We start from the raw sequence: 26,412 nt of genomic DNA, 5'->3' as shown, positions 1-26,412 counted from the left end.
TTTTGATATGAATGCTTCATATCTCATTCTAATTTTGATGCTTCTGATCATGAGCTAGTTGCCTGATCCTTACTCCTCATAGGTCCCTGATATGGTTTGGCTGTGTCCCCACCCAGATCTCACCTTGAATTGTAATAATCCCCATGTGTCAAGGGCGGAACCAGGTGGAGATAATTGAATCATGGGGCAGTTTCCATCATACTGTTTTCATGGTAGTGAATAAGTCTCATGAGATTTGATGGTTTTATAAATGGGAGTTCCCCTGCACAAGCTCTCTTACCTGCTGCCATGTAAGATGTGACTTTGCTTCTCCTTTGCCTTCTGCCATGATTGTGAGGCTTCCCCAGCCATGTGGAACTGTGAGTCCATTAAACCTCTTTCCTTTATAAATTACCTAGTCTTGGGTATGTCTTTATTAGCAGTGTGAGAACAGACTAATACAGTCCCTTAGATTTAGAAGTTAACTTGGGAATGCACCCTACCTGACTTTGCAGATTCCCACCATAGTAGCACGGCAGAGACCCCTCATCTTCTTCTGGCAGCTAAGTGTTCTTTAATTGTGCACCAAAGCTCTTCGGTCCTCCCTTAGAATTCAGATCACTCTTGGTTGGAGAAGAGTATTAGCATAAACATTTAAAAATAAACATTGTTGAATTATATTTAATTACAATAAATCACACTTATTTTTCCACTTTTTAAAAAAATCTTCTAAATGGTTCAGTAGATGGAAATGTGTTGTGGTGAAACATTTAATAATAATTTGAGCTCAGCAGAGCAGCCTACTGTTACCTTAAGACAGCACTGATATTTGATATACAGTTTGGGGATTTTTAACAAATTTATATATTCATGTAAACATTACGCAAGTCAATATACAGAGCATTTTCATCTAAGAAAATGTCTATGTCCCTTACCAGCCAATCCTGCTCCAAGCAATTATTGATCTGATTTCTATATAATGGATTAGTTTTGCTTGTTCTAAAATTTCATACCATGAATTCTTTACATCTTATTTTAGCATGAAGATTTTGAGATCCCTTTTTGTCACTGTATTTGAAAGCAGCTTATTTAAATTGCTAAGTATATTTCATTGTATGAATATAAACAATTTGTTTACCCATTTACCCACTGAGGAACATTTCTGTTGTTTCCAAGTTAGGGTTATTATAAAGAAAGCTGCTATGAACATTCATTTATGTAGGAATCTTTTTGGAGATTTATGTTTCCAGTTCTCTTGGATACACAGCCAGGAGTAGAATTCTTAGATCACAGAGTGGGTACATTTTTAAATTTTGTAAGAAACTGCCAGTCTATTTTGCAAAGAGACTGACAGTTTCTTGTAATTTTTTTTTCTCCTCCCAGTTGCCAAGACCCTGAAGGTTCAATTACATCCTATTGTTACTGTCTCCCTTCCCTAGAATGATTGAGGGAGAGGCTTCATAGAATCCTCTGGCTGGATTGGGACAGCAAGAGTCATTCCCGGGCCTCTCCTACATTGTTGTACGTTGCCACCAGCAATGTAGGAGAGTTCTAGTTGCTCCAAATCTTTGCAACATTTACAACATTTGGTATTGTCAGTCTTTTACATTTTAGCCATTCTAGTATGTGGTAGTAACTGTAAAGTACTCCTTCTTTGTTTTCATTTGCATTTCCATTTTGTCTAATAAGCACTTTTGTATGTGCTCACTGGTCATTTATACATTTTTTGTGAAGTGGCTGATCAAATAAATTCTCCTTTTTTTTTTTTTTTGAGATGAAGTCTTGCTCTGTCCCCCAGGCTGGAGTGCAGTGACATCTCAGCTCACTGCAACCTCCATTTCCCGGGTTCAAGTGATTCTCTTGCCTCAGCCTCCCGAGTAGCTGGGCTTACAGGTATGCACCACCACTCCTGGCTAATTTTTTTTTTTTTTTTTTTTTTTTTAGTAGAGACAGGGTTTCACCATGTTGGCCAGGCTAGTTTCGATCTCCTGACCTCAGGTGATCCCTGCCTCAGCCTGCCAAAGTGCTGGGATTACAGGCATTAGCCACCATGCCTGGCCAAATTTTCCATTTTCAATTGGTGTGTTTAGCTCCTTATTATTGAGTTGTAAGTATTCTTTACATATTTTGGATTGAAGTCTTCTTTCAGATATATGAAATGCAAATATTTTCTTCCAGATAGCTTGTCAATAAGTTGTTCTATCTCTGTTCTTTGTTCCTTTTTCAGATTTGTGGAATTTTACTCTAAGCATATGACCAGAGACTCAAACAAACCTCTATGCAGATTCTGGGTCTCTGCTGTATAGATTCCATCCTTTCTGATACTCAGCCACACAAATTCCAGCCACCTCTAAACTCTGATTTTTGTCTTTTAAGCTCAAGGAAACCATTGTATTTTGCTTGTTTTCAGCACCTGATTCAGAAACTGCTTCCAGGCAGAAGGCCACTGTGATCACAAGTCTCGTTTTATTTTTACTCTTTTCTCAGGGATCACAGCCATGTATCATCTCTTTGTTCAGTGTCCAAAAACTGTTTCATATATTTTCTCCAGTTTGCTAGTTGTTTATTGTAGGAGAGCTAGTCTGATACCAGTTATTCCTGCCTTTTAGGCTGGAGGCTAAAACTTTCAGATATTACTTGGAAACAAAATAAAATCAAATAGAAAAGTAGCAGATTAAGAGATTTTAGAAAATATAATTAAATGCAGCATTAGTACACTCTAAAGATATCTGCTCAAGGAACGACTTAAAGGTTTATGCTTTATTTTTCTTACAATTTAAGGAAATATTCAGCCTATGCTATTGAAAGAATTATTAGTTTTCTATTATTTTCCCAACACATTTTGTTTCCAAAGCTGATTATATAAAAACCAACAAACAAAAAAACCCAAAAAACTAAATTTAAGTACTACAATTGAGTTGACATACCTACTATTACTTTCACTGAAATGCCATTATTCCCCAGCTGAGCATAATGTGTCCTATTCCTTCATGTATCTTTCCAATTTTTTACTTTCCACTTTTCTGCAGGCCTACCTGCACCATATTCAGAAGTTGGAGAATCAATAAGGACCAGGTGTTTAATCGTGAAAGATAACATTTTTAAACTGTTATGAGGAGATAGTAACTATGCTAAGTGATCTATCTTATTTGATACTCATAACAACCCTGAGATAGAAGTATAACTTTGTGACCTTGAACAACTGATTTAATAATTGTAAGTCTCAGCCTGCTCATCTGCACAATGGGAAAATAAACAGATAAGCAAGGGTGTGAGTCCAGGCCATCACACTTCAGAAGGTGGATTGCTTGCTAATAATAATTTAGGAAACAATTCCTCTGCACCCTGACTCCTCCTTGTTTGAGCACACGTTTGAATACATATAATACAACATATAGTATGTACATTTCTTTTTTCCATCAAAACTGTACTAACATAGCATAAAACAATTTCAAAGAAAGTTTAAATCCATGAGGTTAAAAGATCAGGAAGGGTGAGGCCGGGCACGGTGGCTCACGCCTGTAATCCCAGCACTTTGGGAGGCTGAGGCGGGAGGATCACGAGGTCAGGAGATCGAGACCATCTGGCTAACACGGTGAAACCTCATCTCTACTAAAAATGCAAAAAATTAGCCGGGCGTGGTGGCAGGCGCCTGTGGTCCCAGCTACTCGGGAGGCTGAGGCAGGAGAATGGCGTGAACCCAGGAGGCTGAGCTTGCAGTGAGCTGAGATCACGCCACTGCACTCCAACCTGGGCGACAGAGCGAGACTCTGTCTCAAAAAAAAAAAAAAAAAAAAAAAAAAAAATCAGGAAGGGTGAAAACAATGAACAAGAAATTTCTTCAACAGGTAGCTAATGGGAACAGGGCAACTAGTTTGCTAAATGACTCAACAGACTGGAGGGAGCTGAAACCCATGCACCTGCAGATAAATATGTGAATTAAAAATAAGCTTGTTTATGTTAATGAAACAGTGAATTTCAAGCAGTTGTTTCGAAGGACAGAATGAAGGAAGGCAAGAGTAAAGGACATGAAAATACTAAAAGATAGCATTCAACATTTTTCATCACATCCCAAGCCTTACCCTAACAGGAGGCAGGATTTACTTTCTGGAGAACACCAAACAAAACTGAAAGCCAGGAGTGATGGTATTGCCCTATGTGGAAAACACAGGACTAGGGCAAGGCTTACATATTGACATGTCAATAGAATACTGGATGCTAAGTACATTATCCACACGCCAAGTTCCTCTAGTACCCTCAGGAGAGACAGTCAATGATTCCCTGGAAAAATAAAAAGCCCCTGAGAAAGCTGGATATGGTGATATTTGGGGGTTTCCCTAAACAAAATGGTTAGGTTCCTTCCCATTGATTCTACAATGAAGCCCATCATCTCAAAAGCCTTTCTTGCAGATACAGGAATTGATAGGCAAGGATCTCCAGGCATGGACAGAAGCCTCCACTTGGACATGAAAGACGGGGAAGAGGGTGCGGAATGGAGAAAGGGAGAGAGTGAGAGAGAGAGAAAGTAAAGTAGAGGCATAGAAACAATGCAAAGAGCAGAAGAAAATTTCAAAAATATAAATAATATCCCTAAGAAAATAGGAAAAAATTTATATGCACAAAAGGACTACATAAATAATAGAGAGTCATAAGGGGCTCTTGGATACACACACACCCTACATGATTATATATACATATATGTGATATTTTGTATACGTGAGTCTGTCCTGCAAACTCTAGCTGACCATCCTCCCCAGACAATCATATCTGTCTGTTCAACTCCCAGGAAATGCTAAGCTCCCTGGGTTCCCCCTTCCTTGTACTGCACTTTTGAGATTCTCTACAGGCAGTAGGCTGGGTCAATTATAGAGGTTTATTCTGTTGTTTTCCTTCTTTTGGGGCTCACTGTCCTTCATTGACTAATGTCCACTGTCTTTAAAACCATTGCTTCATGTATTTTTGTCCCACATTTTAAAATTTGTTTCAGACAAGAAGGCAAATATGGTTCTTTAAAAAAGGTTTATTTTATTTTATTTTACTTTATTTTATTTATTGATTTTTTTGAGATGGAGTCCTGCTCTGTTACCCAGGCTGGAGTGCAGTGGCACGATCTCGGCTCACTGCAACCTCTGCCTCCTGGGTTCAAGCAATCCCCCTGTCTCAGCCTCCCAAGTAGCTGGGATTACAGGCGCGATCCACCATGCCTAGCTAATTTTTGTATTTTTAATAGAGATGGGGTTTTGTCATGTTGGCCAGGCTGGTCTCAAACTCCTAATCTCGGATAGTCTACCTGCCTTGGCCTCCCAAAGTGCTGGAATTACAGGCCTGAGCCATGGCGCCCAGCCAAAAATTGTTTATTTTAAATTTCTGTAAGCACATAGTAGGTGTATATATTTATATGTTACATGAGATGTTTTGATACAAGCATGAAATGCATAATAATCCCATTAAGGGGTATCCATTCCCTCAAGCATTTATCCTTTGTGTTACAAACAATCCAATTCCACTCTTTTAGTTATTTTAAAATGTACAATTAAATTATTGACTATAGTCACCCTATTGTGCTATCAAACTCTAGGCCTTATTCATTCATTCTATTTTTTTGTACCCATTAACAATCCCCACCTTCCCATCACACCCCCACTACCCTTCCCAGCCTCTGGTAACTGTCCTTCTACCCTCTATCTCCATGAGTTCAATGGTTTTGATTTTCAGATCCCGCAAATATGTGAGAACATGTGATGTTTGTCTTTCTGTGCCTGGCTTATTTCACTTAACATAATGACTTCCAGTTCCATCCATGTTTTCTCAAATGACTAAATCTCATTTTCTTTTTTTTATGGCTGAATAGTACTCCATTGTGTAGAAGTACCACATTTTCTTTATCCACTCATCTATTCACAGGCACTTAGGTTGCTCCCAAATCTTGGCTATTGTGAACAGAGTTATAAAAAACGTGGGAATGCAGATATCTCTTTAATGCACTGATTTTCTTTCTTTTGAGTATACACCCAGCAGTGGGATTGCTGTATCATATGGTAGCTCTATTTTTAGTTTTCTGAGGAACCTCCAAACTGTTCTCCATAGTGGTTTTACTAATTTACATTCTTACCAACAGTGTACAAAGGTTCCCTTTTCTCCACATCCTCACCAGGATTTGTTATTGCCTGTCTTTTGGATAAAAGCCATTTTAACTGGGGTAAGATGATATCCTATTGTAGTTTTGATTTGCATTTCTCTGATGATCAATGATTTTTGAGCACCTTTTCATATGTCTGTTTGCCATTTATATTTCTTCTTTCATGGAATGTCTATTCAAATCTTTTGCCCATTGTTTGATTGGATTATTAGATTTTTTTTTCTATAGAGTTGTTTGAGCTCCTTATATATTCCAGTTATTAACCCCTTGTCAGATGGGTAGTTTGAAAAAAATATGGTTCTTTTTATTTCATTTTGGCTAGAAGTGGAACTCACACACATGAAACTATGAAAAAATTAAAATTGCATAAAAAGTGGTCCAAGTCATTGTTAATAAATTCCACTCTCTTGTTGAAGCTCTGATGATAAAGCCTTCATGGTTTTCATGGATGAGAAACAACTTAGGTCTCTTCTAAAAATTTTACCTAGATAAAAATTTTCAGTTTCCTATTTATAGGTTGCTATTTTTGAAATAATTATCAAGTTAATCACATGATGTTGAAGATAAAGGAGACAGGGTCATTTGTCAAATGTCTACCTGGATGCTTTTCAGGTGAGGCATTTACTATTGTTTGAATGTGCACCCTCTAAAATTCAGTTGTTGTCAATGTGATAGTATTAAGTGGTAGGCATTTAAGAGGTGATCAGGCCGTGAGGGCTTCTCCTTTGCGAATGGGATTAACGCCCTTACAAAAGAGGCTTCACAAAGCATTTGGGCCTCCTGCCCTTCCTTCCACAATGTGAGGATGTAGCTCCCACCAGGTAAATCTTGCCGTGATCTAGGACTTGCCAGCCTCCAGAACCTCAAGAAAATAAATTTCTGTTCCTAATAAATCACTCTGTCTCAAGCATTCTGTTACGGCAGCATACGATGGACTAAGACAGCATTCAACCTCTTTGATCTTTAGTTTCTTCCTCTGCAGAATGAAGTTGACACTGTCTACTTTGCTCTGTTATTAAAAAGTTTAACTAAGATACTTAGGAGAAAACTAGCACAGAGCCTGATTCATAATAATTTCCAAAAACTATTAGTTAATTTATTCTTAAGCAATTCAATCAAGGCAATATGGTGATAGGTTTATTTTGTTCTACACTGTCTTGTTGTCTTAAATAATTTCCTAGTAAATATAGCTGGCTCCTGAAGCACATTATATTTCAGTACTCCATTTCCCATGAGCAACCAAGAAGCAGGACTTGGCACACAGAGAGGGCAGGCCTGTGGTCAACAGATGCGTCTGCACCAGTGATGCTTGGGGTGATGTGTTGGGCTATGTGTCTCAGACCCAGGCCAGGGTTGAGGAAGTGTACTGCTTTCTGCAGCACCTCTCAAGCTGAGGGCCTGCAGTTGTGCAGTTGGAACACATGTCCATGGCAGAAGATCAGCTGCTTTAGCAGCTAATTAGTGAGAGGGGTTATGCTTGACATTTGGAAAGTTCTTAAGTGAGCCATGCCGGAGTGAGAAGCTGAATAACATCCTTACGCTATCTGTCACATCGTTTATGTTCACTTCTTTTGGCCTGGCCTCAGCACACTGCATAAATCTACAGCTGCAGAAACCAAACTCTCATATAAAATTGAAGGATTTATTTTGAGGTATTGAAAGGTTTATAGCTGAAAAAGTTAAAATTTGCCGAATCGGCATTTGGAGGACTCTCCCTTATGCCTCACCCCTCTTGGCTTTCTAATTCTGTTCTCTAAATTTCTGTCTCCACAGGGAGACCAGGTAGCCAGGGAGAAACAGTGACATGGAAGGAATTGTCCAGACTTCACCTACTAATGCCCTTTTGTGGCTTCATATTTCAACCAGAGTAGTTCTCAGAAGCTGTCATTAGGAGCTAAGATCCCGATACAAGAAAACTATAACAATCATTCAACTCTGCTCTGGTGCCAGTTGCATTCTGGACTCCAGGAACATCAGTCCTTTTTCAGGACATATTTTGCAGGGCAGTCGTAAGTTCTCAATACCTTCTTCCCTGCATCTTGACTGCTTTCGTGGGAATCAGCTTAAGTCTTTACTTCCTGCATAAAATAAAAACTGAGTTATCTCTCCTGTATTGAATGCAGAGTTTATTAATTCCTCCTCTGGAACCTGCAGATCGTCTCTAGTAACCTACATTTCCAGCTTGAGGTCTGGCTCATTTATTGAGCTAAGAGGGATAGCTCTTCAGATAATAGAATGCTTTCATATGGATGGGGTATCAAAGTTTAAAACTCAGAAAGTAAATATACATATGAAATACCATTGAGAGCCGGGTATGGTGGCTCACACCTGTAATCCCGGCATTTTGGGAGGCCGAGGCAGGTGGATCACCTGAGGTCAGGGGTTCAAGACCAGCCTGGCCAACATGGTGAAACCACATCTCTATGAAAAATACCCAAAAATTAGCCAGGCATGGTGGTGCGCACTTGTAATCCCAGCTACTCAGGAGGCTGAGGCAGGAGAATCACTTGAACTCAGGAGGTGGAGGTTGCAGTGAGCAGAGATCGCACCATTGCACCCCAGCCTGGGCAATAAGAGTGAAACTCTGTCTTAAAACATACTACTGTGGCAGAGGGTTGGGAGACAATGCAACATTTTGGAAGACCAGTAAGTAGAAACTGGAAGTCTTTATATCTGAGACTGAGTCTTCATATCATTGACTTGTTCCATGACCTAGGTAGGGAGAAGGAGAAATATTGGCCTCCATCATTTTATTTGTAATGCATGAAATATCAAATCTGTAAGTTAATAATGGCATATACTTTGTCTTCTAGGGATGTTGTGGGAAATCAAAGAGATAATACATATAGCCTTGAAAGCTGTAAAGAGCTCTAAAAATATGCACAATGACTCACAGGAATGCCAATTCTACTGTTTGGCCGTTGCTGCTCTTCTCACCCTCTGCTCCTTCTTCCCAAATCATTCACTAACACCTCTTCCTTTTCTCTAGCCCTCTCCAAGCCATGAGATGGAAGAGTGTCCTTATATGAAGACTGCTGGAGTTCCATTGGCTGGTAGTATCTTTCTTATACATTTCTGCTGCTCTTATAGCACTTCTTGGGGCGGGACTGTTGGGGGGCATATTTACAGAAATAATTCCAGAGGTGTGTTTTTGTTGGATCAGCCCTGACTCCAGAGTGCAGTAGCAGCAGACCCTGACAAATGGAAAAGGCTTTTAATCTGCAAATGAAAAGTCTAAAACTGGCCCCTGGCTGCCCTCCTACTCCAGTGGTCTCTTCTGGGAATATGTTCACTTTTTAGTTGAAATACAACTATTTGGGCCCCTCTACAGGCTTAAGCAGCAACTGAAGTGTGCAGTGGCTAAGGAGGCGAGGGCTCACTCTTACCGTTTTGTAGGCACGCATGTCTGAACTCTGCAAAGGCTTGGTGAAATCTCCCTTATCCTGTAAGAAGAGAAATCCTTTTTACCTCTCTCTGCCCAATGCCAGTTCCAACAGCTGTAACTATTTCATTTTTAATTTGCTCCTTGCAGCCTTGTCTCTGCTTAATCCATTAAGACAACGTTGAATGTTCCCGGCTCATATATTTATAAAGGAAAAAAAAGAAGAAGGAAAAAGACTTTGAAAAATGGTATCTAAATTGTAGCCAAATGTACTCAGAACTCTCCTAGGTTAAATTGCAAATAATTTTCTTTCAAACATCACAAACACTCTCTCTAACTTAATTCAACAAATTGGACCGAGGGGTTTCATTGCTTTCAGAAACATGATTCATTCTCTCTTTTTTTTTCCCTCTCTCTCTCTGTTCTGTTCTACCCCCACCCCCCACCCTTTCCTTCCAGAAATTTTCTTCTGGTTGCTTTTTAGCCACACTGCATTGTCTCTAGGTTTCCTTCCTGAAGCTTCCATGAATAATTTGTCTGTCTGTTGAGAGAGAGTCATTTTGTAGACCAACCCTATCCTTGCATTGCTGGGGGGTGGAGGAGAGGGAAAGGAGAGAGAGCTGCTTTAAATCAATCAGTTGACACTAATCTAATGTCTAATTAGTTCTGGGTGGGCGTGTGCTTTGATTATAGGAAGTGCCTCAGGCTGTGGCTGGTGTTTGAAGGGCTGCTCCACACATATCAATCATCCTTTGACAAGATCTGGAAGAAAAAAAAAAACAACAAAAACCACCCCCCAAAAAGGGTATGTTTCTATCATCTGTTGATTATCTGTTTCCAGCGGTCCAAACCAGTGCTTTGAAACTCATCCGTTTGCTCTTAGCAATGAGTGCTTGACCAGAGAGAGAGACAAACTTTCTAAGGTCAACTGAAACTGCCAGTTGTGTCAAATAATTACTTCCTGTGTCGCAAAATACCTAATCATATTTAATAACAGTAATGCATTTCATTGTTTTTTAAATCTAAAATAAATGCAGAAGCTCTACTTGTGAGTATTCAGCTGAACCCTAAAAAGGAGTAATTCATTATTATGGAATTGTTCCTATTTATATTTTATGTTAAATGAGAGATGATGGAATAAAATAGACAAAATCTTTAATTAAAATAAGAAATTGCTTTTTATTGAAAATGGCATGTGTGCAATTATTTTCTAATTTTTTTTTCTTTTTTGTCTGTAGTTAAATTCTGTTCTTTTCAGGGGACAGATGGTTTAGAAATTTTCCTAGAAGTGCCCTTGGCAGATTTAAGTGCTTGCTGCTACTGTTACTATTTCTAGTAGAAAGGTAGGAGGCTAGTCTCATTCTCACTTGCTCTTTTTCTAAGAGCTGCTCTGCTCTAACTGTGACTCAAAGTTACAGAACGATGATTAGATCAGAATTAGTAAGGCAGTTTGATGTCCAGTAGTTTTTAAGACAAACAAAAAATTTAACCGAAGGGTTGATTTCCCTCTCGTGCTTATTCGTTATGAGATTGAAAACAGGTATTTTAAAGCAATGTTTTTATTTCAGATCTATTTGATTTGCTTTTCTGTGTGCTTTTATTTTTCTAATGATTCCAAGCTGTCGAATCTGTTGGATCCAGGGAAGTGGAATGATAGTAAAAGGTGCTACTTAAAGAGATTTGCGTGCAAAGCCTTGTATAAAATACCATAGGAGGCTCTGCAGACTATTAGGCTTAAATCCTGGCCCTGCTACTTACCAGCTGTGTGACCTTGGGCAAGGTACTTAACCTCAACGAGCCTCACCTGTAAAATGGAAAGCATGATAGTGCCTCTTTCATAGGGTGATTATGAAAATTAGATAATATGATGCACGTGAAGTGTTTAACACATGGTAAGCACTCAATAAAGTGCTCAGTGTTATTGTTGGTATAGATAAGTGAGTGTTTTCCCAACAGCCCTGGCTGAGTTTAGAAATCCATAAAAGGTGTGTTTCTCTTTGGAGGCAGAGACTGGAACAGGAAGGTCCTTTATCATATTTTATGTGAGTACCAAACGTTGATACTTCTATCATTCTCTCAAATAGACGTATTGTGGGCTCACGGACACATTGCATTATTGGATATGAAAGAAAATACTTAAGATTATTGACCCACTTTGAGTTAAGGTATTTCTTTTTTAAACACATTTCATAAGACTAAATTTTCTTATTCTATGTGAAGAAATTCTAGTTTGACAACTTTACAAGGGAATTCACATTGGAATATTCACTGAAGTTCCCATGTCCTCAATGATAACTTCAAGAAAATGTCTCCTCTCCCCTTGCCCCTCTCTTCTTCTTTAATGCAGGACAAAATAGGGAAACAATGGTGTATATATTATCAAAGGCACTAGCTCATACTTTTACCTCTAAAATTTAATGCCTTCAAGTTTTTCTCGAAATTTGAAATATATATGAAATATAAGTGACTTAACTTGAAAATATCCTTTCATTTTTACTCATGTGATACATTTTAGAAGTTTTCATAAATGTTGACATGAAAACATGCATTTTAATATGAATTATTATTGTAAACTTAAGTTTTTTAAATTTGAGAGAACGAGACTATCACGAAAGTGATTAATTCTGATTTCTTTCCTCGCAGCACCTTTTTGGTAGGTGTCTACTCACCAGTTGATTAAAAAAATTCAGTAAGGAAGTTGTCAGAAGCAGAAACTTGCATTATGTATTTTCAGATTCCTTACTGAAAGACTGTTAAGTTTTATTACTCTGAATGAATTTTGAAAAGAGCAGTTAAAGGCAATAAAAACAAGTTTTATTTTGCAGAGACATGCTATTTCATTACTTTCAATTATGTATAACAATTTAAAGTAAGATGATAGGGGATTGCCAATAAGAGGATCTGCCCTTTTACCTATTTTAAGTAATAAAAGAGTAGATAATAAAGATTTATAATTAGCGTGTTTATGATATTTTAAAGATTTGGATTCATTTTTACATATTTAATTTAGTTTAGTTTTTTTTTTTTTTTTTTACAGGAGTCTCCTATGTTGCCCATGCTGATCTCTAGCTCCTGGGTTTAAGGGGTCCTTCTACCTTGGCCTCCCAAAGTGCTGTGATTACAGGCATGAACCACTGCACCCAGCCAAGTTTAGTAAATGTTTAAATGATTTTTTCAATATAATGAAAATGAAATAATGGGCCGGGTGCTGTACCTCACGCCTGTAATCCCAGCACTTTGGGAGGCCAAGGCGGGTGGATCACCTGAGGTCAGGAGTTTGAGACTAGCCTGACCAACAAGGTGAAACCCCATTTCCACTAAAAATACAAAAATTAGCCGGGCGCTTTGGCAGGCACTTATAGTCCCAGCTGCTCGGGAGGCTGCGACAGGAGAATTGCTTCAACCCAGGAGACGGAGGTTGCAGTGAGCTGAGATTGCGCCAATGCGCTCCAGCCTGAGCGACGGAGCAAGACTCCGTCTCAAAAAAAAAAAAAAAAAAAGAAAAGAAAATGAAATAATGCAATGAATAGTTGAACAGATCTTCAGGCCAGTTTGCATCATACCATATCAAAATCTGAACTAACGGTATTGGAAGAATGTTGCTCTACTTTCCACATTGTCTTTACAACTAATTAAAATCCCCAGCAGTACCCACAAATGGCAAAAAGGAACAACTCTTGCCTTCCAAAAGCCCACATCACCTTTTTTTTTGATAAACTGTGATATAAAAAGCTCAGCTGAAATTAAGACCATGCTACAAGAAGCAATATAGAGGGAGCAATATTAAGTTGCTTTCTTTCTTCAGGGACCTTGAATGTGGTAAATAGTTCTCTGCTACTGTGGGAACATGTTTTAAAATTGCGGTGGGAGGGAGTGTGTCTAGACTGCAGAAAACACTTTCTAACCATGAGGGTTATATGTCATGGGAAAACAGTATTACAGCAGGGGCTATAGAACTTCCTGCTATGGGGATTTTATAATAAGAGCCAGGCTGGTGTCATTTCACACAAGACCTGCCCGGAGGTAGGGGAATGGATAAAATGACCTTTCCTGCCTCCTCCATAGGCTATAGCTGGTCCTTAATGAAAACCTGGTACCAAGGACTAGTTTGGTGTGGAACAATGCTTTTAAGGCCAAAGTTTAATTTCATAGCAGAAACCAGATACTACAGATGGACAGATCACTCTCTTCTGAGATGGATAAAGTGACTTGGTCTTTAGAGCTCAACCCAAGGGGGACTTTAAGGAATATTCTCTGGGAACTGCATCCTCTGCTGGCCAAAACATTATTTGATGATTTCATGGATTCTTTCCATTTCCAGGTCTTATGATGTATTATTACTCCCACTGCATCATTATAGTCTAACATTTTAGTATCCACATGGTGACAGACACCAACCAAGGCATTTGGCCATCAAACTTCAAAATGTGGTCTTGTTTCATTGCTGCACGTTTGCTCAGGACGGTAGCTGCTGTACTTCTTTCTTTCTCTCCTTTGAATTTGAGTGTGTTCTTATCATCATCGTTAAGATCTGTATGTAGAGTTATTCAGTTTCAGTCTACATTCCAAGGTGGTTGCTGTGAAAGTTTATTGGTATTGCAACGTATTCTCTTGGAAGTTAAAAGTCCCCAGTGCCCTTGATCTTTGATCTTTTTATTTTCACAAAAGTAATAGATATGGTCTACATGGGGATATCAAATATGAGTAGTTTCTTATTAGGTTGTGTGTGCGTGTGCGTGTGTGTTTGTGTAACCAATTCATATCAATAATGCTCAATGGGCCATCCAGAGAAATGATTATGTTGTTACCTTTTACGACTCTCACCTGGCATAACTCTGAAATGAGATAGGATTGCTACACTTACTATTGAAGTAGGCCAATGGGCAGGCTTTTCAGGGTGGTGGGAGAAGAGGTACAAGGAAGCTTTCTGGCTTCCTTTTTGTATGTGTTCCTGTTGAATGCCGGTGACTTTGACTTCTTTTCTGTTGCTACTGAAACAGAATAAGGTGGCACACAATGGGGGTGGCAGGAAGGGAGGGGCGGCGGGCAGGTCTCCGCAACAGGTGCAGGCAACATGGCCACCCCTTTCCCACACGTATCAGGGAGTCTCAAGTGGCCATGTGTGCTCAGAAAATGAAATCGAAATGCAGATCAGGTGTCTGCCAATTAGAAGTTGGAAGCGAAAGAGCAACAAGGGGTTGTGAGGAAGGCAGGGGCTCAGGGAGAGGGGTTGTTTGTGTCCCTCTATCTTTGTTAGCCCCATATCCAAAGCTCGCATGTGAAATCCTATCTGTGTTATTTTGCCTCCAATAATCGTGCTCCAGTGAGGTTCCGAGATGGTATCTGGATGATGAACACAGAGAGAGCTTCCATTGTTCCTCTTCTCCTTTGTGCAGAGGAAGCCGTTGGCTGGTAAGTGTCTTCAGGTGGGCCTGGAAAGTTCCCAGGGAGGCAGATACTGTAGGGAACCAGGCATGGGGCTTCCCCACAACTGGCCGTCTTCTGTGCCAGCACCTCTGCCCTCTACCTCATATATCATTCATATGTAATGGACTGATAGTGCCTGTCATATCCTTAAATCTGACCTGAAATTGTGATATTTGAGGCAATTTGAGATCAGACAAGTAGAGGACATGTTTGTGGTTAAGGAATTATTTTCAGGGGTCTGTCAAAGTATTTCCATATGAGGCTAATGCCATTTTTCTAAGAAGCACATGCAAGAGACACAATAAATATTATTTCGTTTCCTTTGGTACATTAAAAGTAAAAGATTCTGATTGTGGAAAGAAAGCATTGGCAGGGAGATTTTTGCAAGAGCAAGTAAAATGCACTGTTAACTAAGAAAGTGATTTTTTTGGGGGGTGGAAGGGATAATTTTGGGGGTCCTATTTTTCAGACTTGAGGTTTGTGTGGAGATCGCTAAGTAATTTATGTTTTAGTTAATTTTCATTTCAATTTTCTGCATAATGGGGAGAAGGAATATATTCCAGTGATTCCCTCTCCAAACTTGCTCGTTTGATCCCTGCATTATACCTCTTGCTTCAGCCACTTCTAACTTGATATATTCATTACATGTAAGAGCTTTCACAAAGCTTTGGCATCTGCTACTCTTTATGTGGGGTCCTTTTTTTTTTTTTTTTTTTCCTTTTCCTCTATTTGATGACCTCTTTCTCATCCTCCAAGACTGGGACCTAATGTCCCTTCTCGGTCAAACGTTCTCCAACCCCCTCAGGCATAATATAAGCCCCCTTCCTCTTTGTTGCCCTGAGCTTTCTGTGTGCATTAAGGCATGGCAATTATTTGTTAATATGGCTGTCTCTTCCCTGGGTGATGAGTCTGTCTGGAGCTGGGGACTTTCCTCCTTCTTTAATTTTCTCACTGTCTGATGTGGTGCTCCATAAATACTGATTGATGATTCTAGAAATGAATGGGGCTTTCAGAGGTTAGAGTGAGCTTGACTGAAAGATGGGATTCTCAATCCTCTTTAATGATTTGCCATGGATGAGCACTAGAGCCCAGAATTAGGAAGGCAGTTCTCAGATCTTCCTTTCTTAGTAATAAGGATTTTAGGTCATCAGTAAGTGTGATATTGAATTTATGGTCAGACTTCTTTATATGCATTTGCTTGTATATAACTAATGATGATAATAATTGCTGATATTTGTGGGTGTTTGACATATGCCAGGCACTCTGGTGAGCAGCTTTATGCTTACAATATCATTCTCTGCCTACAAGAATGCTATGTGGTTTATACTATTATCCTCACGTTATGTGTGAGGAACCCAAGGTAGAGGGACTTAGGTCCTCACTATTAGTAAGCAGTAAAATCTGGGTATGAACTCAGGAAGCCTGGTTGCAGAGTGTTGATACTGATTATGTTAGTATCAAATGAGGGCTATGGGAAACAGTCAAGGATGCTCCGACTGTACTGAGCAGTTGTAGGGTTTCAGTCTGTGTTTTCCTGCCCTACTAGAATTCCTAAGGCATCAAGTATTTCCTATTTTCATATTACCTGTAATTTTTCTCTGATCTTCCAGAGTTCAGAAAAATGTTAAGTGCATATCCCGGACCAGTTTGGGTCTCCAGACTGAATGAAGCCAGTCAGCTGGGATTCTGGTTGAGTCTCAGACTCAGAAGAAACTTGTGGGATTAAGTGGTTTTTCTGGAAAATATTGGCTGAAAACCACATTCACCCCAAATTGCTGTGTGAATGAAACACATGGGTTTTCTTTGTGTTTTAAATAATTCCAGTGGTGGCCTCAAGCTTCTATTTCCCTGTGTTTTTATGGAGTTAACCAAAATAGCTTTGTACAAATAACAAAAAGTATGAAAAAGTATATGCACCTTGTCATTGCTTTGCCAATTGGAAATACTCTTAAGACATATGAACAACAATAAAAAGCTGTGGCTTCAGCTTTTAAAATGCTGAAGACATGGCTTATTGCAGAATCTCTGTCTTATATTTGGTTACTTTTCAGTTTTTTTATTTGCCTATTTCAAGCATGACATTTTTCTACTTCTCACATAGAAAGTATTCAGTTATAGTCTTCAAATATATTTAATTGTATCTGATGCTCAAATGTGCCACATTCTAACAAGGAGGAGGAATAATGTTGGTTTTAAGTGGTAATATTATATTTTTGTGGTTGCCTATTGGGAAATTTCTAATGTAGTTCTTCATCTTGTACTTTTAAGAGATTAGAGGTTTTTGAAAGGTTTATGGAAATGCTGAAAATAAAGGTAAATCTCTTTCCTCTAAACATTACCAGAACTCATTCTAAAATACAAAGCAATGGTCTACATCTGTATGTCAGTTATATTTTTCTGTGGCACAATGTATATAAACTATGATAAACATTTTTTCTTATTTCTTCTTCTTATTATTATTTTCAAGATGGAGTCTTGCTTTGTCACCCAGGCTGGAGTGCGGTGGCATGATCTTGGCTCACTACAACCTCTGTCTCCTGGGTTCAAGCAGTTCTCCTGCCTCAGCCTCCCAAGCAGCTGGGATTACAGGTGCATGCCACCATGCCTGGCTAACTTTTGTATTTTTAGTAGAGCTAGGGTTTCACCAGGCTGGTCTCGAACTCCTGACCTCATGATCCACCCGCCTTGGCCTCCCAAAGTGCTGGAATTAGAGGCATGAGCCACTGCACCTGGCCTCTTATTGATTATTTACTGACTTTTTTTTTTTTTTTGGTCTGGATGGCACAGCAAATGAAACAAGAGTTACCAAGTTGCACTACCATGTTTGGTCTCAAATAGTTCTCTCCTTTTAACTATATTTAATCAACTTGGATTTAGAGAGACTATTAATAAAAAGGCAGGACTTGAACATGCCTGGTAAAGAGCAGTTTCAGAATTGTTAGAAAACATTTGCTTGGAAAAGCATTCTCGGTACTTTTATAAGCTTATTGGAAGAAAAGCACTGATGATTTTATAGAATGAGTCTACAAAATTTTGTAGAATCCTTATCTGATGTAGCTAAAGGCTTGTCCCTAGCTAAATTTTTTCAAAACCACTTGGTGATGTTAATCTATAACTTGGGCATTTTTACTTAGGTATTTAAAATACTCAAAATATTTACAAACATATCTATATCTCTCTCTATATATATCTATATCTATCTATACCTATATCTACCTATATCCGTATCTGTATGTATCTATATATCTATATATCTATATCTATATCTAGACTTCTGTGAGTTACAGGAGCCCAACATTACACTAGAATATTGCAGTATATTAAGTCCATTTAAAATGACAGGTGAATAGAACTTTATATTAGAAGATACTTTAAATAGACCAGGTGTGGTGGCTCATGCCTATAATCTCAGCACTTTGGGAGGCCGAGGTGGGCAGATCACAAAGTCAGGAGTTTGAGACCAGCCTGTCCAACATGGTAAAACCCCATCTCTACTAAAAATACAAAAAAATTAGCCAGACGTGGTAGTGCACGCCTGTAATCCCGGCTACTCAGGAGGCTGAGGCAGGAGAATCCCTTGAACCTGGGAGGCAGAGGTTGCAGTGAGCCGAGATGGCATCACTGCACTCCCACCTGGGTGACAGGGTAAGACTCCGTCTCAAAAAAAAAATACTTTAAATAAGTTGTCTTAGTCCATTTGGGTTTCTATAACAAAGTATTATAGACTGAGTAGTTTCTTTTTCACAGTTTTGGATGCTGGGAAGTCCAAGGTCAGGGGACAGGAAGATCTGGTATCTGGTGGAAGAGGGTGCTCTCTCTGGTTTGCAGACGGCTGTCTTCTTGTGTCCTCACAACAAGTTGGACAGCAGACAGAGAGAGACTCCTGTCTCTTTCTCTTTTTATAGGGGCATTAATCTCATTCATAAGGAATCCAGCCTCATTACTTAATTTCTTCCCAAAGGCCCTATTATCAAATACCATTATATTGAGGTTTTAGACTTCAATTTTTGAATTTTTGGGGTTGGGGGGGGCATAAACATCCAGTCCGTAGGAGCAACTACCTCTCACATGGTTCACCAGCTGATTGCAGATGCTTGAGCAAACCCAGTCAGAACAGCCAGGCTTGACCCAGAGCAGCAGAACTGTCCAGCTGACCTGTAGATCCTTGAGCAATAGTAAATACTTATGCTATTTTAAGCCACTAAGTTTTGAGATGGATTATTAGGCAGCATAATTATGGTAATAGGCATTTAATATAGTCAAACACTAAAGATATGATTAAAGCTATTGTAGGACACAGACATTTCGTAAACCACCTATAATATTCAACTTTACTCGGATATAGTCAAAACAGTTCTTGTTTTCAGTTGTTCATTGGTTCAACGTTCTACTGATTTGAATATCCAGGCGATTATCCTTTTCTAAAAATTCCTACAGAATATTAGTTGAAGTTGGACTTGGAAATCACTTAGTCCAACCCATTAACGTTATAGGAAAGAAATCAAGGTCAGTTGAGTTTAAAGGCATGTTTATAGCCACTCTGCCAGTTACTTACAGAGCTGGAGCTCTACAGTTTTGCCACTGTGCATTGAATGTTTTGATCTTACTCTTAATGATATATTAGAAAAAGAAAAAATATACAAATACTATATTATGTAGAGGTTATAACTAGTGCCACCATATCTTTAAAAAAAATAATTCGCCAGGCGCGATGGCTCACGCCTGTAATCCCAGTGCTTTGGGAGGCTGAGGTGGGTGGATCACTTGAGGTCAGGAGTTTGAGATCAGCCTGGCCAACGTGGTGAAACCAAGTATCTACTAAAAATACAAAAATTAGCTGCGCATGATGGTGCATGCCTGTAATCCCAGCTACTCTGGAGGCTGAGGCAAGAGTGTTGCTTGAACCTGGGAGGCAGAGGTTGCAGTGAGCCCAGATCGCACCACTGTACTCCAGCCTGGGCAACAGAGTGAAACTCTGTCTCAAAAAAAAAAAAAAAAAAAAAAAAATGGCTGGGCGTGGTGGCTCACGCCTGTAATCCCAGCACTTTGGGAGGCCGAGACAGGTGGATCACAAGGTCAGGAGATCGAGACCATCCTGGCTAATATGGTGAAACCCCATCTCTACTAAAAAAAAAAAAAAAAAAAAATTAACCAGGTGTGGTGGCAGGCACCTGTAGTCCCAGCTACTCGGGAGGCTGAGGAAGGAGAATGGCGTGAACCCAGGAGGTGGAGCTTGCAGCGAGCCAAGATTGTGCCACTGCACTCCAACGTGGGTGACAGAGCGAGACTCCATCTGAAAAAAAAAAATTAAATGTTTTCCATGCTAGTAACCACATTTAGCTACTGCTAATAGCAAAATGTCTTCAGTCTTCATGTGGAGATGTCTACTGCACTTCAACACCACGGTACGTCTGCTTGCATGTATTTTCTAAGTTACGACTGTGAGCAAATGGTGGTTATTGAATAGACGCTGCTTAATGATTTTGGTGGAGAAGTGAAACTCTTCCTTATAGATCAAGGACTTATTTGCCTTGCCACTTAGATATTTTACACCTTGTGACATCCTCTGTCAGCATGCAGTTTCTTGCATTATTCAATGACTGCAAGTGTGCATTAGAAACTCCACACCATGCCTATGAAACATGGCTCTGAGCAGTTTCCTACAGGGAGTAAACTGTCATTTTTCACCACATTAAATTTTATAAGTTTCAAGCAAATGGAAAATGGATTTTATTATTTTCTGTTTCTCTCTCTCTCTTTTTTTTTTGCTATGAATGTTTTATGGCTGCAAAAACAGAATTTGTGGTTTCAACTGTTCAAGTTTGATGCAGAAGGCTGTGGAACCTCTTATGTAACCTGATGGCCTGAATAATTATCAAAATATTTTGCTTTCCACCCTTTCTAAGCTTCAGCAGCAGAAAAAAAAAGGAGTGTGTGCAACCTTTTGACCACAAAATAATAATAATGAGAAAGCCCCTTTTACACCTACACTATAGATACTGTAATTGGGGGAAGGTCAGTGCTCAATGGGCCTGGGCCTGGGCCTGTGCCCCAGCTCTTATCAGGGACTACCTTTGCAAGGAAGGAAACAATCTATGAGAAGAAAAGCCAGGGCTAAGAATAGAAGGGATAGGCCAGGTGCCGTGGCTCACGCCTGTAATCCCAGCACTTTGGGAGGCTGAGGTGGACAGATCACAAGGTGAGGAGATCAAGACCATCCTGGCCAACATGGTGAAACCCTGTCTACTAAAAATACAAAAAATTAGCTGGTCATGGCGGTGCACGCCTGTAGTCCCAGCCACTCGGGAGGCTGAGGCAGGCGAATTGCTTGAATCCGGGAGGCAGAGGCTGTGGTGAGCCAGAATCGCTGCCATTGCACTCCAGCCTGGGTGACAGAGTGAGACTCTGTCTTGAAAAAAAAAGAATAGAGTGGATATCTGGGGCATGGTGGCTCACGCCTGTAATCCCAGCACTTTGGGAGGCCAAGGCAGGTGGATCGCTTGAGACCAGGAGTTCGAGACCAGCCTGGCCAACATGGCGAAACTCCATGGTGTGGAGATTCCAATACACATTTGCAATCGTTGAATAATGGAAGAAATTGCATGCTGACAGAGGATGCCACAAGGTGTAAAACTGTCTAAGTGGCAAGGCAAATAAGGCCTTTATCTATAAGGAAGAGTTTCACTTCTCCACCAAAATCATTAAGCAGGATCTATTCAATAATCACCATTTGCTCACATGGTCGTAACTTAGAAAATACATGCAAGAGGACACACCGTGGTGTTGAAGTGCAAAAGACATCCCCATACTACTAAATTCTACTACAAATTCTATTTTTTGGTAGAATTTTTTTGTATTCTACTGAAAATACAAAAAAAATTAGCCAGGCATGGTGGTACGCACCTGTAGTCCCAGCTACGCAGGAGGCTGAGGCAGGAGAATCGCTTGAACCCAGGAGGCAAAGGTTGCAGTGAGTCGAGATCACACCACTTCACTCCAGCTTGAGTGACAGAGTGAGAGAGTCTCTCAAAAAAAAAAAAAAAAAAAAAAAAGAAGGAAAAAAATGTAATGGAAACCACTTAGTAGAGATTTGTAACAACAGGGTCTCTTACCCCTTCTGAATAAAAAACAAGAATCACATTATTTTGATCTAAAAATATTAGAGGGTAAAAAAGTGTATGTGTTGGTGTGCACATGTGTGCGTGTGTGTTTCTTTTGGCTTACATAAATATCATTTTTCAGTGACTACTGAGAACAGAATGTCCCCTCACATCCAATATGGTATCAGCCCTGACATCTCTTAAATACAGGTAAGCCTCAATTCATGAAATCTGGAATCCAGATCCAGAACGTAATACCAGTAAGTCAAATTCTTATAATGAATGATATAAATATAACCTATCAGTTATATAAAATATTACATACAATTTCTATATATATTGCTTATTATGTATAATTATGAATTTAATCACTCTACTTTTTTAACTTCAGAAATTAACCTCCATTTAAAATTTTAAATTAGAAGTAGTTTTCAATCTATGTTTTTTCATGTTGCTTTGCCCTAACACTTCTTTATGAGGTTAAAGATCCACGTACATCAACAGGTATATGAACTATAAAGTAGGGAGTCCTGCTGTAATGTAAAAACTACCACCCACACCTCACATTATTACAACTGAAAGAAATATGGAAAAATTATGGTTTTTTTTCAATAATATGGAAAAATTATGTTTTTTTTTCAATTTCAGTTTGGATTATTTTTCGCTTGGTCACTTTTAGATTTTCATAAATGTCTTAATTATCATGGTATACTCCTTTGGCAAAGAAAAACAATCTAGCATGTTTTACTTCTACCCAGAAAACGCTAACTTGTTTGCCATTCAATCCAATTTCCAACCACATTACGTAATGTATCTGATACGTGAGAAGTGTAAAAGGCATTTACGAATGTTCCTGCCATGTTTATCAGTGGAATATAAGGTCTGTGAGAGCAGGGGCATTTTCTATCCTGTTCTGAGACTTCGATAGTGGTCTACTACCATGCTACTAGTCTGGTATGCAGTGGAAATTTAATAAATGTCTGCTGAATGATTAAACCAACACAAGCTTCACTTCTTTTTTTTTTTTTTTTTTGAGACGGAGTCTCGCTCTGTCACCCAGGCTGGAGTGCAGTGGGGGGATCTCGGCTCACTGCAAGCTCCGCCTCCCGGGTTCACGCCATTCTCCTGCCTCAGCCTCCCAAGTAGCTGGGACTACAGGCGCCCGCCACTACGCCCGGCTAATTTTTTGTATTTTTAGTAGAGACGGGGTTTCACCGTTTTAGCCGGGATGGTCTCGATCTCCTGACCTCGTGATCCACCCGCCTCGGCCTCCCAAAGTGCTGGGATTACAGGCGTGAGCCACCGTGCCCGGCCGCTTCACTTCTAATAAATGGCATAACATTAGCAAATAATGGCTTATTTTTCCTGAATTAGAGATTGACAGAAAATAATAAAGTACCTACCTTTAAATCTTTCAGGTATCATGGGGTTGTTAGGTTTCAGTAGTAGAAATGGCACTGAACTTTATTTTATTTTATTTTATTTATTTTTATTATTATACTTTAAGTTCTAAGGTACATGTGCACAACGTGCAGGTTTCTTACATATGTATACATGTGCCATGTTGGTGTGCTGCACCCATTAACTCATCATTTACATTAGGTATATCTTCTAATGCTATCCCTCCCCCCTCCCCCCGCCCCACAACAGGCCCTGTTGGGTGGTGTTCCCCACCCTGTGTCCAAGTGTTCTCGTTGTTCAATTCCCACCTACAAGTGGGAACATGCGGCGTTTTGTTTTCTGTCCTTGCGATAGTTTGCTGAGAATGATGGTTTCCAGCTTCATCCATGTCCCTACAAAGGACATGAACTCATCCTGTTTTATGGCTGCATAGTATTCCATGGTGTATATGTGCCATATTTTCTTAATCCAGTCTATCATTGTTGGACATTTGGGTTGGTTCCAAGTCTTTGCTATTGTGAATAGTGCCGCAATAAACATGTGAGAAATGGCACTGAACTTTAATTCCAGTGATTTTCTTGCAAGTTATTCAAACTCTTAAAGTCTGTTTCCTAAGGAAATGTGTACTTACTTCATGGAGTGACCCCCTAAAGAGATGATATAAAGAAAACAGCTATGTAGGATTCAGAATACAATATAGCTATACAATGTTATTATAGGACTCATAAATTCTCCTAAAGAGGACTAAGAGAAGAACATAAATGATACTAGAATTGATAACCACTACCACTTATTTTTAGCTAACCATCACCCAAGGCCTTGCAGTAGTGGCTCTTGCAAAGCCTCTGTAGGGTTTTAGTAGCTGTATTCAGGCTATTGAGTCTGACAGATCTGGCATGGACTTGCAGCTTCACTAATTTAAGAGCTCTCTGAACTTGCATGAGTTAGTTAATATCTTCATGCTCCAAATTCCCCACCTACAAGTGATAAGAATATTTCCCTTTTGAAATGTTTGCACATATGGAGTGACAATGTTCATATAGCAGAGTGATTTTAAATTGTAGGTAGTGGATTCAGGTTATCTGGGTTCACATTCTGACTCTTTTTTTTTTTTTTTTTTTTTTTTTTGAGACGGAGTCTCGCTCTGTCGCCCAGGTCGGACTGCGGACTGCAGTGGCGCAATCTCGGCTCACTGCAAGCTCCGCTTCCCGGGTTCACGCCATTCTCCTGCCTCAGCCTCCCGAGTAGCTGGGACTACAGGCGCCCGCCACCGCGCCTGGCTAATTTTTTGTATTTTTAGTAGAGACGGGGTTTCACCTTGTTAGCCAGGATGGTCTCGATCTCCTGACCTCATGATCCACCCGCCTCGGCCTCCCAAAGTGCTGGGATTACAGGCGTGAGCCACCGCGCCCGGCCCACATTCTGACTCTTAACAGTGGGGTAAACATGAACAAGTTAGCCAACTTCTCATGGCCTCAGTTTAGGGTGGTTTTTGAGGTGATTGAGTTAATGAATAAATAATATTTACCATTTCCTTAAACATGGGACGTGAATAAATTTTAGTCTCTATTGTTATTATAAACTATTAAATGGAAGCTATTTTAACACTTCTACTAAGCCACTCAGAAGCGGCAATTGTACTTGAAAAAGATGAATACTCTTTGTCTTTTGTTTTATTTTGTTTTCAATGAGATGCTTTGTCATATTTAGAAAATTATGCTAATGAGGGAAGTGGCTTATTTTCATGGAAGTTTCCAGAAGGTAAAGCTCTTTCAGTGCTGGGCCATGGTAAAGTTCAGCCAGGGGACCTTAAAGAAGGGACTGGTACTGGACTGAGAGATCTCATTTCTTCTTATTGGATTAACCCCATGCCCGTCAAATGTAAATTCTAGTGATTAGCCATCCATGCTGCTTTGTTAATAACAGTCCTATTCAGCTCGTATTGAGTTTGGGGGCTGATGGAGTTTCCTTTTCAAATCAACTCTTTTGGAAATCCTTCCTAATGGAACTTTGTTCATATGGCCAGAGAACAATGCGACCAAATAAGCTACCAGCTGGAGTAAAAGAGATGGCAAAGCTAAAAGGCATATCTCATTCTGGGGAAAATTAACCTCCCAATTTTGCCCAGTAATTGATTCCATCTGACTGAGGCGTTTCAGCCTCCACTGTGACTGTCATTTGGGTAGCTGGGAAGCGAAAGCCTGTAATTACAGTCATGCAACCCTGTTATCAGAGCCTGGGGAGGGCTTTCCTCTCTTCCTACCCTGGGTGATCACAGGTGAGGCTGACCAGAGAGGGAGGAAGGAGAGAGGGGCAAGCAGGCTGGTGGTTCTTTCTCCATGGGAGAGAGACCCCTAAGGCAACCCCAACCATGGAGAAAAGGTCAGAGGTCGCAGGGAGTCCTCTTGAGTTTTCATGATATGAACATGAAGAGGCCAGAGCTTCCTGCTTGCTGCAAATTCTTCTCTCCAGGGAGATGCTTTGCCTAGATAGAGCTAATAAAGAGCAGGGAGTGTGATTAACAGAGAATTAGAAGAATTCTTCTAATACCATCTATAATAGGTCGTTACAAGCTGTGTAAATAATTTTGTTATGCTCGGATAGGACCTGTGAACCAACTGCAAGAACACTGAATTTTACAGGACACTTTATGTATTTATTGCTGTTTTTTTATTTGTATAAATTTAAGGAGTACAAGTGCAATTTCCTCACAGAGACATATTTCATAGTGGTGAAGTCTGGGCTTTAAGTGTGTCCATCACCTGAATAATGTCCATTGTACTCATTAAGTAATGAGATAAAATAAAAATTGGACTTGTTCTCACCTCCTACATGTTTGTAAGCAGATGTTGTTGAAACTTATAAGGATTGTTCTGTTATCACGATAAGACTAAGTGCAACATTCCTGCTGCTTGTCAGCATAGGTATACATGCTTGTCTTGTTAAAGGTTGAACTGAGACTAGCAAAAGCGAGATTACCTTTG

The 26,412-nt window shown here is 39.7% G+C and overlaps 1 long non-coding RNA gene across 1 annotated transcript, besides 5 other annotated features; it reads left to right on the top strand.

Annotated features, from left to right (window-relative positions):
• Positions 8,478-9,677: an enhancer, noted in NCBI's record as "BRD4-independent group 4 enhancer chr17:69867322-69868521 (GRCh37/hg19 assembly coordinates)". NCBI's record gives its function as "activates an origin of replication core promoter dependent on BRD2, P300/CBP, MED14 and CDK7 cofactors, and independent of BRD4, by STARR-seq in HCT116 cells {active_cell/tissue: HCT116}" and the evidence as "EXISTENCE:reporter gene assay evidence [ECO:0000049][PMID:35650434]".
• LOC107985015 (uncharacterized) lies at positions 9,108-10,291 on the top strand. The gene is made up of 3 exons (XR_001753061.2): positions 9,108-9,171; positions 9,651-9,748; positions 10,194-10,291. It is a non-coding gene; the product is annotated as an uncharacterized LOC107985015 (long non-coding RNA).
• Positions 9,869-10,401: an enhancer, noted in NCBI's record as "E3". NCBI's record gives its function as "enhancer in cranial neural crest and inner ear" and the evidence as "EXISTENCE:transgenic organism evidence [ECO:0001131][PMID:16458883]".
• Positions 10,120-10,215: a conserved region, noted in NCBI's record as "conserved region; E3". NCBI's record gives the evidence for it as "COORDINATES:sequence similarity evidence [ECO:0000044][PMID:11707075]".
• Positions 14,308-15,331: an enhancer, noted in NCBI's record as "enh7". NCBI's record gives the evidence for it as "EXISTENCE:reporter gene assay evidence [ECO:0000049][PMID:21408189]".
• Positions 25,034-26,180: an enhancer, noted in NCBI's record as "enh6". NCBI's record gives the evidence for it as "EXISTENCE:reporter gene assay evidence [ECO:0000049][PMID:21408189]".

The sequence above is a fragment of the Homo sapiens genome, chromosome 17, assembly GCF_000001405.40.
Source record: "Homo sapiens chromosome 17, GRCh38.p14 Primary Assembly".
In the NCBI taxonomy this organism is placed as follows: domain Eukaryota; kingdom Metazoa; phylum Chordata; class Mammalia; order Primates; family Hominidae; genus Homo; species Homo sapiens.
Note: the sequence above shows the minus strand (reverse complement) of the source record. Positions and strands in the feature narration are given on the sequence as shown.